This window comes from Homo sapiens, chromosome 2, assembly GCF_000001405.40.
Source record: "Homo sapiens chromosome 2, GRCh38.p14 Primary Assembly".
Taxonomy (NCBI): Eukaryota; Metazoa; Chordata; class Mammalia; order Primates; family Hominidae; genus Homo; species Homo sapiens.
Genome location: NC_000002.12, coordinates 105,375,879 through 105,393,123, shown reverse-complemented (window position 1 = coordinate 105,393,123; position 17,245 = coordinate 105,375,879). Strand labels below are relative to the sequence as shown.

The following is a 17,245-nucleotide window of genomic DNA, read 5'->3' as shown; positions in this document are numbered from 1 at the left end:
ACCTCTTCAGGCTTTACCTGTAGGGATCTGCCAGGCTCCTGGAACTCCAAGGCCTGAGCCAGCAAGCCAAGGGAGGCTGTCTGTCATGGCAGCCCCTCCTTTGATCGAAATCTTTCTGGTTAAAAAAAAAAAAAAAATTAGCTGGGTGCGGTGATGCACGCCTGTAATACCAGCTACTTGGGAGGCTGAGACAGGAGAATTGCTTGAACCTAGGATGTGGAGGCTGAAGTGAGCCAAGATAGGGCCAGTGCACTCCAGCCTGGGTGATAGAGTGACACTGTCTCAAGAAAAAAAAAAAAAAAAAAAAAAAAGCTTCCTGGCATGCAGGGTCCTTGCCTCTCTTCTGCCTCATTTCATTTACCCTCCTCCTTCCTTTTTTTGTCCTGTCACCACCCTTCTCCCCTTCTCTTTACTCTTTCTGTTTCCTTTTCCCTTTATTTTCCTCCAGCTTTGATACTTTCCCCACTCATACTTTGTTTTACAGTTTTTGAATCTGAAAATTTAAAAATAGATCACACTGATGAGCTTGTGAACTTTTAAAATTAGTATGAATTGTGAGTAGTAGAGTGCATTGTTGCTCCCTGGCCCTCTGAACCTTTATTCTTACATCCTTTTTATTTCTTTTTCTTTTTTTTCTTTGGAGACATGGTCTGTGTCACCATGAGGCTGTTTCCTTGAGGCTGGAGAGCAGTGATGCTATCATGGCTCACTGCAGCCTCGACCTCCTGGGCTCAAGATCCTCCCACCTCAGCCTCCTGAGTAGTAGGGACTACAAATGCATGCCACCACACCCGGCAAATTTTTTGTGTTTTTTGTAGAGATGGGGTTTCTCCATGTTGCCCAGGCTGGTCTTGAACTACAGGGCTCAAACGATATGTCTGCCTCGGTCTCCCAAAGTACTGGGACTACAGGCATGAGCCTCTGTACCCGACCTATTCTTACATCTGAGTCAAAGCTGGGCTAGCGAGAGACTCAGAGATCAAAGCCTTCCCTGGGCCATCCCCAGACCTCCGAGCTGCACCTGGCACCTGCCTCACCCATTGCAGTTCCCTTGGCCTGGAGTCAAGCCTGTACCCTAAGATCCAGCTTTTTCAAATACCCTATTCAGGGCCGAAGGGGTAATGACATCATGGAATGATTTAGCTTGGTGAGGAATAAGAACTCCAGGAAACTGTGATTTGGAATTTGATTCAGTGAAATAAAAAGGAGGGGTTGCGCCTTATGTTTGGGCATCTCCCTGCAGGCTGTTGCCTGATGCTTTCAGCATTCCTGTGTACCAGCTAAGGAGCAGGAATTATTGATAACCTGTCAGGAGGGATGTGGAGTTCACAGAGAGTAAATGGATTGTACACAATTAGGTTAATAAGTCCTTGTAGAACCAAGATGTCCTACTTTTATTTGAAGAAATCATTCAGAAATGGGCTCTGATACCCTGATACATTTTTTAGGAGTCATTGCCCCCTGTCTTGCATAGTAAAGGCAGGCTTCCATGCAGTAAACTTTCACTGGGCTGTCCGTTTCTCCACTGCCTGCGAGGCATACCCAAGTCCATGAACAAGGCATCCAGGCCCTCATTGCCTTGGCTGTTGACTGGGTCTTCCATCTTCCTGGGCTCTCTGCCTACCCTACTCTGTCTCTCATGTCTCTGGCTTTGCCTACTCCACCCCTTGACCTGACCTGCCATATCACCTGGCTGACCTGTTCCTAGCACAGATAGCATCTCCTCTGGGATGCCTGCCTGCTCTCTCAGGGGCTCCTCCTCTGCGTGCCCATCATACCTGTGCACCTCCAGCACGCACTGAGTAAGGGGCTTGGTAGTCTGTTTGGTATATATCTCTTTTCCTCACTAGATAACAAGTCCCTTGAGGGGAGGGGCCTGCATTTTATTCATCTTTGTATCTTCTGCACTTTTCATGACTTTAGACACATAGTTCCAGCTCAACCAATGTTTATTCAGTGAATGAATGAGCAATCAGGTATTTATGGGATGTAAAAAATGCAAGTGGCTCATGACTGTAATCCTAGCACTTTAGGAGGCCAAGGCAGGCGGATCACCTGAGGTCAGGAGTTTGAGACCAGTCTGGCCAACATGGTGAAACTCCGTCTCTACTAAAAAAAAAAAAATACACATACACACACACACATACACACACACACAAATTAGCTGAGTGTGGTGGCGTGTGCCCGTAATCCCAGCAACCCAGGAGGCTGAGGCAGGAGAATCACTGAAACCCGGGAGGTGGAGGCTGCAGTGAGCTGAGATCATGCCACTGCACTCCAGCCTGGGTGACACAGCAAGACTCTGTCTCAAAAAAAAAAAAAAAATGCAAGTTATAGGAGATTTCTAATACAGGACAATAGGTATACTTTTAAACATGTTGTAATAGAAGGGAAGCTCTGAGCTTGCTTATTAGCTCATGGACTTTTTATTCTGATGCTCAGGGCTTGTGCAGTATGTAACTGTGTGGAACTCCTTCAGGGGCCTGCTTTCACACAGTGCATCCTGCTGTGCTCCTAGGTAGCAGCAGTTGCTCATTTTATGCTCTGCCCTGTTGGTTGGAGTAGAAATGCTCTCTGCTCTTTGTAGAACTCTAGTGTCCTCTTAGAAGATGAGGAACAAGGTAGAAGAGGGATCCACCACTCTCAGAAAGAATTCTGTAGAATTAGGAGCTGAACCACAGGGCCAAGTGCCTCCTCCCAGGTGGACCCACTGAGCAGATAGCAGCTGCTACTGTTCCTGCTGGGAGCTGGTATCACTGATAATGATATTCATCATATCACTGATGATGACATTCACCATGATGACATTCATAACCTCAGTCGTACTTTGAGCAAATGTGGAGCCCTACTTATTTTCAGAGTTTATTCTCTTAGATTTATTTTTTTATTTTTTTAGACGGAGTCTCGCTTTGTCGCCCAGGCTGGAGTGCAGTGGCACGATCTCAGCTCACTGCAAGCTCTACCTCTTGGTTCACGCCATTCTCCTGCCCCAGCCTCCCAAGTAGCTGGGACTACAGGTGCCCGCCACCACACCCGGATAATTTTTTTTTTGTATTTTTAGTAGAGATGGGGTTTCACCGTGTTAGCCAGGATGGTCTCAATCTCCTGACCTCGTGTTTCACCCGCCTCAGCCTCCCAAAGTGCTGGGATTACAGGCGTGAGCCACCGCACCTGGCCAGATTTTTTTTGTTTTTGTTTTTTTCTGTCCTGGTCCTGTAGAATCAGAGGAAGTGGAAAACACATATCAGGTATATGAGCACCGTGATCACGATTATTACCTCAGAGGAAAACAGGTGTACCCCTTTCACCAGCTGCCAACATAAATGGAGCTCTGCAGACATTAACAGAGGCTGTAGACTGTCTCCCTTCCCTAGCAGGGCTGGTGCTTGTCCTGACCCACACAGACGGCCTTTCAAGTTAGACTGGGAGTTCATTTTCTGTAAGTCAGACGGCTATTTGAGAAAGCTCAGTGGACCCTCTTTTTCATAAATATGCGTGGGCTTCAGTTTTTCCATCCATAGAATGAGGAAGTTGTCATAGATAATCTGGGGATTTGTTTCCAGCTTTTACAATTCCGCAATTTATAGTTCTCTGTCCTTTCATCGTTCTTATTTCAAATTCCCAAATTATTATTCTTATGTTTGTGGGCATGGAATGGGCAGTGAGCCTCTTGTCCCACAGCTAAATCACACCCTTTATTGGAAAAACATATATGTTGGAAAAACAGCTCTCAATTGTGATGAAATAAATGACAGCAACTTTCAAGGCCAATAACTGAACAATTACAGGAAAGCATTGAATCTTGTGCCAGCATGGCTGCTCCAACTCGAGATGGCTGCGGTACAAAGGATATTTATACGTTGGGCTTCAGAATAATAATTCAAGTGCTCAAGAGCCTCATCTTGTGATGTTATCACAAGAATGTCCAGACAATGTTTTCTTTAACTCCAGGAAGAGTGATTTAGAAGGACGGATCTTGCCGCATGTGTCCAGCTGCATATTTATTGCTCTTGGAAGAGAATTATTCTGTAAACACAGAAATATCCAAGAATGAATTCTTGAAAGATGATCTTTTCCTTGCTTACAGTTGTCAGGATCGTGTATACGCAATAGTACAAAATTACTGTAATCACAAACCAGGCGGCAATATTTTATTTGCATCAGAAGGTCTGATTCTGGCATTTCACTCGCCTATCTTTTGAAGACTGCAAATTGAACCAAGTTTTCTTAGATCCTGTGAACTCTTGCTCAGAGTTACATAGCCAACCAGTGTACCTATTTTTTTTTTTTGAGACGGAGTCTCGCTCTGTTGCCCAGGCTGGGGTGCAGTGGTATCATCTCAGCTCACTGCAACCTCCACTTCCTGGGTTCAAATGATTCTCCTGCCTTAGCGTCCTGAGTAGCTGGGATTACAGGCATGTGCCAGTAAGCCCGGCTAATTTTTTTTTTTTTTTTGTATTTTTAGTAGAGACAGGGTTTCACCATGTTGGCCAGACTGGTCTCAAGCTCCCAACCTCAGGTGATCCACCTGTCTCGGCCTCCCAAAGTGCTGGGATTACAGGCGTGAGTGACTGCACCCAGCCCAGTGTACCTATTTAAGAACAGAGAAAACTTTCCACTTTTAGCAAATGGAATATTGCCATTTATTCCTGAAGAAAATTGTCTGTGTTTTTAATGCCCTATGGCCGTTTCTCCACACCAGCTATTCCTGTGGTAGGCTTTTTCTCTCCAGGATCATTCTAACATGATTTTATAGGAATGGTCATAAGAGGAGGGCCCATCACTTGCTGCTTATTCACACTGCGTATTCATCCTAGAAAAATGCAGTGTGCCGGGCATGGAGACCCCTTATTTTAAACTTTTATTTTAGGTTCGGGGTACATGTGCAGGTTTGTTATACAGGTAAACTCTTGTCACAGGGGTTTGTTGTACATATTATTTCATCACCCAGGTATTAAGCCTAGTACCCAAGTGTTATGTTTTCTGCTCCTCTCTCTCCTGCCATCCTCCCTCCCCGCTCAAGTAGACCCCAGCGTCTGTTGTTTACCTCTTTGTGTTCATGTGTTCCCTCATTTAGCCCTCACTTACAAGTGAGAACATGCAGTATTTGGCTTTCTGTTCCTGCATTAGTTTGCTAAGGATAATGGCCTCCAGCTCCATCCGTGTTCCTGCAAAAGACATGATCTCATTCTTTTTTGTGGCTGCATAGTATTTCATGATGTATATGTACCACATTTTCTTTATCCAATCTGTCATCGCTGGGCATTTAGGTTGATTCCATGTTGTCGGTATTGTGAAGAGTGCTGCAATGAACATTCATGTACATGTGTCTTTATGGTAGAATGATTTGTATTCCTCTGGGTGTATTCCCAGTAATGGGATTGCTGGGTCAAATGGTAGTTCTGTTTTTAGCTCTTGGAGGAATCACCATACTGCTTTCCACAAGGGTTGAACTAATTTACACTCCCACCCACAGTGTATAAATGTTCCCTTTTCTCTGCAACCTCGCCAGTGTCCTGTTCCTGTTGGAAGGGCTTGAGGTGTTGCCCAGAGAGCCACTGACTGCAGCCACTGCATTTCTGACTATTTGATATCATTGTTTTGGGAAGTGAGTCTTTCCATTTATCCTGCTCTCAGGGTACCTGGGCAGCTGCAGGATGATCTTACCCGCAGGGAGCAATGATTCATCCTCAGGGACTTTGGCAGTTTTTCTTGTGCAAGGGCAGCTTGCACTCCCAGGTCAAGGGTATTAGTGCCCTCATTGCATCTAATCTCAGGTTTCCCAGGTCAGATCTCCCTCCCTTTTGCCACTGTGATTTCTTCCTATTCAAATCATGAATCATAAAGAGGAGCTCACGGAAAATCTTTTTATAGAAATGGACGTATTATTTCTATGCCTGCCTTTCTATTTTGGAGGCAGGGAGAAGGGGAAGATGCAAGGCCGGGTCACAGCCGGACAGGATGGGGGCTCTGGTGTCAGCCCTTACCTGCATTTAAAACTGAGATAGCTTTTTCTGACACAGTAAAAAATAATTTGTGCTTTTCAAGAAGTGGAATGTGACCAGGCGTGATGGCTCACGCCTGTAATCTCAGCAGTTTGGGAGGCTGAGGTGGGCAGATCACCCGAGGTCAGGAGTTTGAGACCAGCCTAGCCAACATGGTAAAACCCTGTCTCTACTAAAAATATAAAAGTTAGCTGGGTGTGGTGGCAGGTGCCTGTAATCTCAGCTACTTGGGAGGCTGAGGCAGGAGAATCACTTGAACCTGGGAGGCGGAGGTTGCAGTGAGCCGAGATCGCACCACTGCACTCCAGCCTGGGCAAAAGAACAAGACTCTGTCTCCAAAAAAAAAAAAAAAAAAAAAAAAAGTGGAATGCATTCAAACACAAAACCGCCCTAGCTAATGAAAAAAGGTGTTATCATTAAAAATTATGACCGATTAAAGGGTGAGTTTTAATTATTCATCCAGAGGAATTAGCCACCTTTCGGCTAAAGATGACAGACAGTGGGACAGTTAATGCCTTTGCGTGCACCCCTTTCAGAGAGTGCTTAATGGGACTTGGATTTTCTTTTCTTTTTGATAGGTTGCTGAAAAGCCAGGAGTCAAAATGACTGAGCGCTTTGACTGCCACCATTGCAACGAATCTCTCTTTGGCAAGAAGTACATCCTGCGGGAGGAGAGCCCCTACTGCGTGGTGTGCTTTGAGACCCTGTTCGCCAACACCTGCGAGGAGTGTGGGAAGCCCATCGGCTGTGACTGCAAGGTACCTGCTGCGGGCCTCTGCGGGTCCCCGGCGCTCCCCTAGGAAACACGGGTTTCTCTGTGGTTTGTGCTGAAGCCCTGATCCACCACTGAAGTCTGTCTCTTGAGCCCCCTCTGAGGGGCGTGGACCCTGCGTGTAGCCTTTCGGAAGCTTCTTCCCTCTAGCGAATGTGATCTCTGCCCACAAGCACTGGGTGAGGGCCTTGCCAGGACTTTTGTGCTTAGTATCTCTAAGTACATTTTCTGTATTCTAGCAATTAGTGCCCTTATCTAACTACCCAGCTGCCTACCAATACTGGAACTTTCTTAAGGGTGGTGCTCTCTTCCTCTTGTCTGTTTGCCCCGTGGTGAGTAACGTGGAGCAGGTGCTGTGCTCAGTCAATATTTGATGAATGAATGTGTACATGAGAGAACCAGAGTTGGTTCCTGGATAAATGGGCACATAAAAGCACAAAGTCCTTGGAAGATTGTGAGCTCTTTTCCTTTAATGAGAGAAGGACAGGATTTGTATTGTTTCCTTTCAATGGGGAAATGTGTTCATGGCTCTCCTGGTATGTCACAGCGTGGTTCAGCAAAGACCACTGGTCACTTGTACCAACTGCCCCGTGGTTGAGGGTGGTGAACCCTGACCTGCGCTTCTCAGCAGACTCTTGTTCCAACCTGGATTGCTGAAGGACACCCTGGGGGACCCATCCATAGCTCTGAACTCTCTGATACCTTCACCCGCAAACGGCTTCTAAAACACTCCAGTGAAACCCCTCATGTGGCTGTCATCCTGAGTGCCGTGAAACTGGCTACAAAATGGGATTCCTTTGGCATCTCTAAAGGAATTCCCAACTGAATGGGCACCAAGTCAGTTCATGGCATTTTACTATCTCTTTTCTGCTCTCGTTGCTTTGTGCTCTGTAGGGATTTTTGCTGCTCTCCTCCCTGGTCGTTAATATCAGCACATTGCCGCTGACTGATTGACTTAGGCCATGCATGCAGTTGGATCATTCTAGCACATCCAACATGTGTTCCTTCTATTTCCTTCTCTGATCACATCATTCTTAGGAAAGACAGGAATCAGAAGGCTGCACCATCACTTTCTGTTCCCAGGGATTTAGTGACAGTTGAGGGATGGTTTCCATCTTGTAGCGAAAGAGACCTCTGCCTTGAGCAGAGACGAAAGAGGTACAGCACCAGCCCCCTAAACCAATGCTGCAGCCCTGTGTCTTTTGGCTTCAGGGCAGATGCTGTGCTGAATGTAAAAGAAACGAAACTCAACAGTGGTATTGTGCCAAACCTTTGAAATACCATAAGCAAAAATAGCTGATCTGGCTACTCTAAAAGTTGTGTATCTTCCTGTATCCTGTCTTGCCTGCTGCGTGTCTCACTGCACCTGACGACTTTTCTCTGTCCCTTTTCATGTATTTAACAGGACAAGCATGAGAGCTCAGCCACCAGACTGCCCAGTTCCAGCCCAGGCTCTGTGTCTCACTTGCTGTGTGGCCTTGGGTCAGTTACTTGACCCTTCCGTGCACATCTCCACATCTATAAAATGGGGAGAACCAGGCCAGGGGCATAGGCTCAAAGCCTATAATCCCAGCACTTTGGGAGGCCAAGGCGGGTGAATCAATTGAGGCCGGGAGTTCGAGACCAGCCTGGCCAACATGGCGAAACCCTGTGTCTACTGAAAATACAAAAATTAGCTGGGCGTGGTGGTGCATATCTGTAATCCCAGCTACTTGAGAGGCTGAGGCACGAGAATCACTTGAACCTGGGAGGCAGAAGTTACAGTGAGCCGAGATCATGCCACTGCACTCCAGCCTGGGACACAGAGTAAGACTCTGTCTCAAAAAAGACCCAAAAAAAACTGGGGAGAACCAGGGGTCTGCTTCATAGGGTCTTTCTAGTATGTAGATACAAGCCCTTGCACTCGCACTCGTACTCTTCTAGCAGCTGACAGGGTAAGCTCCAGACTGCCACCTTTCTGCTGACTACTTCCTTATTCTTTTCGTGACACGTCCCTTCCACACACCTTTCAGAAGCTTCACCCTCTCTCTTTGTCGCTTTTCATTTTGGAAACATCAATAAAAATGTCCAGTTTGAGGAAGAAGTAGATAGCCCGAGAAAAATATAATTATAAAAGCTTTAGCTGGAAAAGAAATACTTACGTAGGTGAGAGGTTCAGATATCATCTGGCAAAAGGTAAGTCTCACTTTCAAGGACAGATTTTGGATATTTGGGGCTAATCATCCCTGACCAGTGGCTGAAATAAAAACAAAACAAAAATCACTTGCTGTTTCTCCAGTGATTTAGTGGAAAGACCCTTAAAAGCCGTCATCCTTCCACGCATGTTTTATGAGCAAATAAACAAGAGTCTCCCAAATGGAGCCAAAATCATCAAGGCTGCTGTCAAGCCAGGAGTGAATTGTGCTGAACTTTTCAACCCGGATTAATGTTTTGAGATACGTGGGGTTACACTGTATGATTTTGTACATTTTGGAACAAAAAGAGACATTGAGTTGAAGCGAGACCTTGGCATTTGGGGCTTTTGATGCTTTAGGCGTGCTTTTCTTGACTTTCAAAAATAATCGGGTAGTTGGGTTTGTAGTGGAAGCAATGATAGAAAAAAATGTTCCTGTTTTTTTCTGGAAGTAAAGCCCACAATCCTGGCAGGCGGGGAGATACCTGATAGAGGAACTGTGCTCTTAGGTCTGGTGGCCAATCTCTTCTCTTAAAATAGCACAGCCACCACAGGCCTCAGCTACTTCCCTCTAAAGGACATGTTCATGTGTGTGAGTTTTAAATGTTGGCATGCCTATGGGAATTAGGCTAATTTTGAGAGTCCTGACCTACTTAAATGAGACAGGCAAGACTTCAGAGCCTGTTATATAGTTTGAACATCCTCTCTATGTAGCCACTGAATTGTAATCTTTATTTCTATTAAGTTACTCTGGGAAAATGCTGTGATCTCAAAGGGTAAAGATTATTGATTTGTATGGCCAGTGTAATAGTGGAGAATAGACAATGCTAATACAATTTTATGATCCTCTGACATTACATGCTTCCTGAACCTTTTCTTGGATACCTGTTAGCATTAACAAAATATTTTCGTAGACTGATTACAGAGTTTTTGGGGGATCTGCCTACGTTCTGGGCTTCAAAAATTCAACCAACTAAAGAAAAAATAGGGCTGGGCACAGTGGCCCACGCCTGTAATTCCAGCACTTTGGGAGGCCGAGGCAGGTGGAACACTTGAGGCCAGGAGCTGGAGACCAGCCTGGCCAACATGGCGAAACCCCGTCTCTACTAAAAATACAAAAATAAGCTGGGTGTGGTGGCGTGCACCTGTAATCCCAGCTACTTGGGAGGCTGAGGCAGGAGAATCATTTGAACCTGGAAGGTAGAGGTTGCAGTGAGCCAAGATTGCGCCACTGTACTCCAGCCTGGGTGACAGAGCAAGACTCCATCTTAAAAAAATAAAAATAAAAAATAGGCTGGCCAATAACTCCAGAGACAGCTGCTAATACTGTGCATTTAACAAATTGGTGATTTTAAGCCCTGGGCGACACACGTAACCTAGACTTTGAATGTTCCATGGGTCTGCAAGCAATGCCATGAAATTGGACTGGCCACCATACCCACCCATGTGCTTGGAGGGTGCTACAAAGAGAAAAAAAAAATAATAAACAAGAACAAAAGATCTGCAGATCAGAAACTAGCATTCAGGGTTTAGTTTCTAGTGGTAGTCTTTGAAACCACTGTGTATTGCCTGATGACTTGTTCCAGGCACTTGTAAATGCCTAAACTGCATGATCTAAATTTCTCCTAACACCCTATAGGTAGGAACTTTTTTCATTCCATTTTATGGAGTAGCCGCTGAGGCCTAGAGAGGATGAGGATCTTGCCAAGGGTTAAAGGGATTAGGAAGTATCCGAGGTACAATTTGAGCCCAGACCCGGAGGGTCCTCACCTAGCATGTGATGCCACCTGCTACCTGCAGCCTCGGGCAGGACCCTGTCTATGTGACTCTCGGGCCAGATGTGGTCAGTCCTTATGAGTAAGAGATGGTGACCACCTGGCCTCAATCAAGTGACCTTCAGTCAGAGGCCCCTACTCTTCTCATGGGCCCCTTTAGATGGTGATGATTACATTGCAGAATTGAGGCTCAAGTTGTTTCACAAACTCTCTTTCCAGCTTTTGTAGCTAATAGGAAACATTGAAGTGATGATCAAATTGGCTGTAAAAGTCTCAGTTAATGTTTGGTAATGGACAGAAATGTTCAGTGATATTTTGGCAGAAAGCAACCTGGCAGGGCTCTGAAATAGGAGACGAAGGTTTTCACACATACAGGTTAAATCTAGATGCCCCTAGTATATTTTGGAAGGTTTCTGACCAAGCCTAGTGAAAGGTGTAAGGTCAGGTTTGAAAAACCCACCCTTCTGTCCTCGGTGTAACACAGGCCTCCCTCGCTGGTCTTTCTGGACCCTTTTCTGGGAAGAGCACCTACTCCAGTCACATTCTCAGGGTCCAGCCTGCCAACCTGGTGCTTTTTTATTTGTTGGGGTGGTTTTTAAGTTCTCAATGAGCAAATTACCTTCTTGGATCTTCTTCCGTGTAGAATTTGTCCACAGAGTTTGTAACGAGCACTGAAAACGCGTATTTATTTGGATTTCCTCCTAAAAGACAAAAATCTGTCTGTGAAGGGAATTTAATCAAGCAGGGTCCTAGGATCAGAAGCAAAGCTGTCTGGATGGATTTCATGAGAAGGGCCTGTCAGTGCACGAACTTGGCCTGTCAGTGCATAAAACCAAAAGTTCAGCCACAAGACATAGCAGCAGAGGTGCACAGCGCTCAGCAGTGACCTCGCATGCACCGAGGCTGGACCCCGGAACCAAATCTCCCTGGCTCCACCTTTGACAAGCTGCGCGAAGGGGACAAGTCCTGCCACCTATAAGCCTCCGTTTCCATGTCTATACACTGGGGTTCCTAGCTCACGGGACTGTCGGGGTAATTGAGTGAGTTAACGTCTAGGGAGCACCTGTGACATGCCAACACAGTGCTGTCATTTCTGCTGTTGTCCATTTTTCTGCATCTTTATTTGTAAGGATTTGAAAGAATGTACAGTTGGAAACCTGATGATCTCAAGCAGAAAATATCTTTTCATAACGCTGAGCATGAATGACATGAGAATCCATGTCTGAAGTGAAATCGTATGGATCTGAAGAATGGTTGGTGCCAGCCCTGGTGGAATGGGGTGCGAAGGAGGGAGGATGAGAGCCAGACGTTTCAGTCTGGGTGACCCTGCCACCCAGAGCCACCTTCCATTAACTGAGGGGTCCAGGGCTCCCTCCAGGCCACTTGCCACTAAAGCTCAGCTAAAGTCTCAAAAAGGACACATTCGGAGCCAAGCAACAGGCACAGCCCATGTTAGGAATGTTTCTGCAATGGAAAAATACAAAACCAGAAAGGAAGTGTGTGGGCCTAATCGTACATGTTTATCAACATTTTACTGCAATGTATGACATTTCTGTGAGCACAAGATTAGCCTTGGTATTTTTTTCTGGGAAGTATAAAAGACTTTTTTTTTCTTTCTTTTTGTTTTCAATTTCTCTCTAGAGGAATTTAAAACCGGATATTTCCATCTTAAAGTTCTTGAGCAAGTCTGTCAAGGTGTCCATATTTCTTACCCTGTTCCTCTCAGCATCGAAGTGCTATCTCTGTTACACTCATGTTTGCTGTTCACAATGGAGTACTAATGAAATAGCAAAATTAAGCTACCGGCATGGTGCTAATAACTGAAACTAAAAATCGGTTTGGAGCTTTTCTGTTTGGAAAGAGTCACTTGAGCCGGGCGTGGTGGCTCATGCCTGTAATTCCAGCACTTTGGGAGGCTGAGGCAGGAGGATCACTTAAGGCCAAGAGTTTGAGACCAGCCTGGGCAATATAGCAAGACCCCTGTCTCTAAACAGATAGATGATAGATAGACAGACAGAACAGATAGATAGAAGAAAAGAAAAGGGTCACTTGGCACTAGGTCTTCACAGGTAAAGATTCAGAGTGTGATAGGAAGCACAGGCTCAGGCACCCGGGTCTAATCAATGACAATCTCGCTTCTAGGCCTTTTGGTGGCATTTTCTAGTCTACCTCTAAGCTCTAGGGAATCGTGTGGCTAAAATCTTCCCTCCTGCTGAGACTCAGAGAATACCATGTTGGCCAAGATCTCTAAAACAATCAAACCTGGCAGTATTGAGTTACCTTCCTCTTATCATAAAGTCTTTCCTCACTTCCTCCTTATTGTGAACTTTCTTAAGAAGCGAGTCCAGGAGGAAGCAGTGACATGAATTTATTAACTTGACTCAGACTTCTAAAGACAACACAAACTGGGCGCCCCATTCAGAGAGTGACAGGGAAACCCCGTGGCATAATTAGTTACCTACGAGTTTCCAAATAGGATTTGGAAGGAGACATACAAACTAGGTCGCCGGCGTGGCACATGGCTTCCCTGAAGCCAGCATTGCCCTGGCCAAGGAAGCTTTGCAGAACAGATGAGATTTCAGCTGGGACTTGCAGCCAAGTGGGATTTGGCCTTTTGGGGAGAAGGGAAAGGGCATTCAAAGGCCAGGGACAGAGTATGGTCAAAGGCATGGAGATGAGGAAGAGGGGACCAGAGCAGAGGGTCAGGTTGGAAAGCGAGTTGGGGTCAATCTGCAAAGGGGCTGACGTGCCAGGTAAAAAACAGGAGCACAGTTTAGTTTTGTCGGATCATTTCAGGTGGAAGGGCAGTGGGAATGTTGGAGAAAACACTTTTTGGTGTCGTTACATTGAATCTGCTCATCTATAAGAATAAAACTTTATTTCATAGAGTTATCGTATGGCTCAAAATAGGTATGAAGAATTAAGAAAAAGAATTTTAGATTTAAAATGAAAAAGCACCTACAAAAGTAGAGTGGTAGAGTTACCAACGTGGAGCTTTAAGGTGGCAGATATTCTCATTGATAGGACTGTCTTCATAAGGAAATGTAGGTTCAGCAAGTGACACATTGAGGCAACTCTTCTCATTATTAGCTGTGGTCTAAATAATGACTTATACTAACATCCATTGAGCAATTGTAATACATACCAGCAACTGTTATACATGCTTGTTACAGCCAGTAGTGGGTCCATTATTCCTGCTGTACAGGTCAGAAATCTGGCAAGAGAGGTTCAATTACTTCCCAATGGTGATGTACGTGGCATAGGGCAGAGCCAGGATTTAAGTTTAGTCAATCTGGCATTTGGGCCCTTGAATTGAACCCCTAGGGTGAAATAACCAAGCAATTTAATCACGTGCTCCTGGGATCCCAGAGGGGCGGGCGCTTGACCCACAGTGATACAAGAGATGTGGACTGTGGGACCTCATGCTCTCCCATCCTGCTTGCATGCAGCAGGCATTCAGGCATTTCTGGCCCAGGAAGCCCACCACCCTGTACTGCAGCAGGGAGGTGGGCCAGTTCTGTTCCCACTGAGGACCCACCAACAACAATGATGCAAGCTTGTTTACAGAGTATTTTTAGTTATTGTACACCACAAAACTTAAGAACGTGAGCATAGGTTAATATTTATCTTCAGGGAAAAGAGTTTCCTTTAGAAGGTTTTAGAATTAGGAACTGCTGCACGCATATTCACTCAGGAATGCTTGTGTGTGCAGTCATAAAGGTAGGCTGAGAGAAACGTTGCGGAGCTGAGTGCAGATGGCCCCAGGGAATGATGCCGAGATAACGCAGCCCTGGGCAGGCAAAGGCACTTTGTGGAAGGCACTCTGTCTTTTGTTTCTTAGGACAAAACCTGGATCTCTGCATGCCCCAACCCGAATGGGATGGGGAGCACTTTCAGGTGTCCACTCTACACCAGCCTGAAGGGAAAGGGCAGCATCTGGCAGGAGCCAAGGCGAAATGGTTCCCAGGGGATATAGCAGACCAGGTTGTCCTGAGAGAATGCGGCCTTCACCTTGCGAGGTGGGATCCGATAGAGCAGGGTGTGGGGGGACAGGCTGCGCCTGCAGAAGGTCTCCAAGTCTTGCATGGATGCTTAGTCCAGTAACATGTGGATAATATCCACATTTAGAGGGACAGTTTCAAGTGTCACGTGTCAATGAATCAGTCTTAAACTGTAGCTATTGCATTTTTGTGCCATAAATATTAACTGTAGGAAAAATGGAATTCTGCAGTGCCTTGGACCCATGTGCATGTCTTAGCCAGCTTTTCCATGTCTGTGCAGGCATGCTGATGTGCTCTTTCCTCCATCTGGGGACTTAATGACCGGAGCACTGGCTGTGGTGACATCTAGTGGCTTTGCTTTCCTGTTGACCTTGGAGATTTCTCTCTCAGTTTTTCTTGAAGGTCAGTCCCAAAAGGCAAATTTTCTAGAAATTGTATTTCTCTTCCCTCTCTTGTCACTGATAACTTGCCACCCCTCTGGGCGTAATGCCTCCTCCCTGGGCAGGGCAGCCACCATGTAAAAAGCAACTATCTTCCCAGAGAGAGGCCAAGGATCTCCTCCCCTCTCCCTGGCGCCTACTCCTTCAGGTCTCTTGTCCCAGCCAGACAGTGACTCTTGGGTCATGGAAAACATTCTGCAGCTTTTCCCCAAACGAGCAGTCCTCTATGAGGTGGCTCGCCTGCACAGGGGGACAGAGGTAACTTCTGAAACGGTGTTTTTTACCTGCTACATAACAATCAAAACTTACTTTTTTTTCTTTTGGAGACAGTTTCACTCTTGTTGCCCAGGCTGGAGTGCAATGGTGCGATCTTGGCTCACTGCAACCTCCACCCTCCACCTCCCGGGTTCAAGATTCTCCTGCCTCAGCCTCCTGAGTAGCTGGGATTACAGGCATGCACCACCACGCCTGGCTAATTTTTGTATTTTTAGTAGAGATGGGGTTTAACCATGTTGGCCAGGCTGGTCTCGAACTCATGACCTCAGGTGATCCGCCTGCCTCGGCCTCCCAAAGTGCTGGGATTACAGGCGTGAGCCACCTCGCCTGGCCAAAACTTACTTTTTTATTCTTTTAATTATGGTAAAATACACAGAACATCACACTTACCTTCTTAACCACTGTTAAGAGTACTGTTCAGTAGTAAGTGCATTCAGATGGCTGTGCAACCAATCCCCAGAGCTTTTGCTTCTTGCAAATCTGAAATACTACCCCCATCAAGCCCATTTACGCCTAGTATTCCATTAGTGGAATGCTAAGCATGTGGGAGTTATGTATATCTTACTGCTCAAGATCATCGCCAAGGTCTGATTGCAGAAATTCAAAAAATTGCAACCTCAGGCATGAATGGGTTACAGAACACATTCTCACTCCCATTCCCCTCTCATCCCAGCCCCTGGCAACCACTCTTCTACTTTCTGTCTCCATGAATGTGACTTCCCTAAGTATCTCACATGTGTGAGATCATGCAGTATTTGTCCTTTTGTGACCGATTTGTCGTTTCACTTAACGTCATGTCCTCAAGATTCATCCATGCTGTAGCATGAGTCAGAATTCCTTTCCTTTCTAAGGCTGAATAAAATTCCATTGTATGCACAGACCACATTTTGTTTACCCCTTCACCTATTGATAGACATCTGGCTTGCTCCCACCTTTTGGCTATGGTGAATAATTCTTCAATGAACGTGGATGTACAAATATATCTTCGAGACCTTACTTTTAATTCTTTTGGGTATATATCCAAAAGTACAATTGCTGAATCATATGGTAATTCTACTTTTAATATCAGCCATGGTGTTTTCCACACAAAATTTATTCTTAATGCATTTCTTCCACAATCAGCATTCTAACAGTGATAACATGAATAAAATCTCCATCTCTTCTTAAATTAGGCAGATTACTGTTTTGGGTGGATAGGGCTTCTAATGATTTGTTCAATTTTATTCAAAGTCTAAACAAAGGCAATACTGAGCCACATTCATTTAGGTACAAAATATGTTCTAGAAAGTTGCCAGAGTTTGGTCGTTTCTGGATTTTTTTAAATGAACACACACACACATCTCCTCAAGGCTATCTGTTTTGAAAGCAAAGAGTAACACAGACCCGACCAGGATTTTGCCTGGGCTGGTTCAGTGGAAATAACTTTCGCATCAGGAGGACTTGAGCTCGAAGCTTGGCTTAGCTCCGTGCCAGGTATGTGACTGGGCAAGTTACGGAACTTCTCTGACCTTCAGTAATAACATTTACCTTGCAGGGCTGTGCCGTGCCTGGAGCTCACAGATGGGGTAATGATGGTCATCACTAGTGTTTCAGATGTCTTTTTGAAGCCGGGGCGTGTGCATGGAAAGAATGGAGACCATGCCTGTTCCCGAACGATGATGATGTCCATGTGGATTGTGGGCTTTGCTGTTTCTCATGAGTTCACATGTGTAGACATCAACTCAAATCAAAGCAGTTTGTCCTCTATTTCACTTGTCAAAATAACCAATAAAGCACAGGTGATGTTCCCCTCAGATTTCTGAA

General features: G+C 45.5%; 2 protein-coding genes across 13 annotated transcripts in view; one reads left to right on the top strand and one right to left on the bottom strand.

Moving 5' to 3' along the window:
• FHL2 (four and a half LIM domains 2) overlaps positions 1–17,245 on the top strand; it is an 80,818-nt gene that overhangs the window by 45,406 nt on the left and 18,167 nt on the right. For 9 of the 11 annotated variants that reach the window (NM_001318897.2, NM_001318896.2, NM_001039492.3 and 6 more), the window contains one exon: positions 6,584–6,763. Coding sequence is in view for 8 of the 11 variants with exons in the window: in NM_001318896.2 (NP_001305825.1) it covers positions 6,608–6,763 (156 nt within the window). In the remaining 3 variants the exon portion in view is untranslated. Of the gene's footprint in view, positions 1–2,896; positions 3,018–6,583; positions 6,764–15,006; positions 15,129–17,245 lie in introns of all 11 variants that reach the window. The other 2 variants (NM_001318899.2, NM_201555.3) reach the window with 2 other exon arrangements.
• C2orf49 (chromosome 2 open reading frame 49) overlaps positions 7,225–17,245 on the bottom strand; it is a 48,360-nt gene continuing 38,339 nt past the window's right edge. For both annotated transcript variants that reach the window (XR_007081585.1, XR_007081586.1), the window contains 2 exons: positions 11,345–11,426; positions 7,225–9,013 (listed from right to left, as the gene is read on the bottom strand). The gene's annotated coding sequence lies outside the window, so the exon portion shown is untranslated. The remainder of the gene's footprint in view (positions 9,014–11,344; positions 11,427–17,245) is intronic.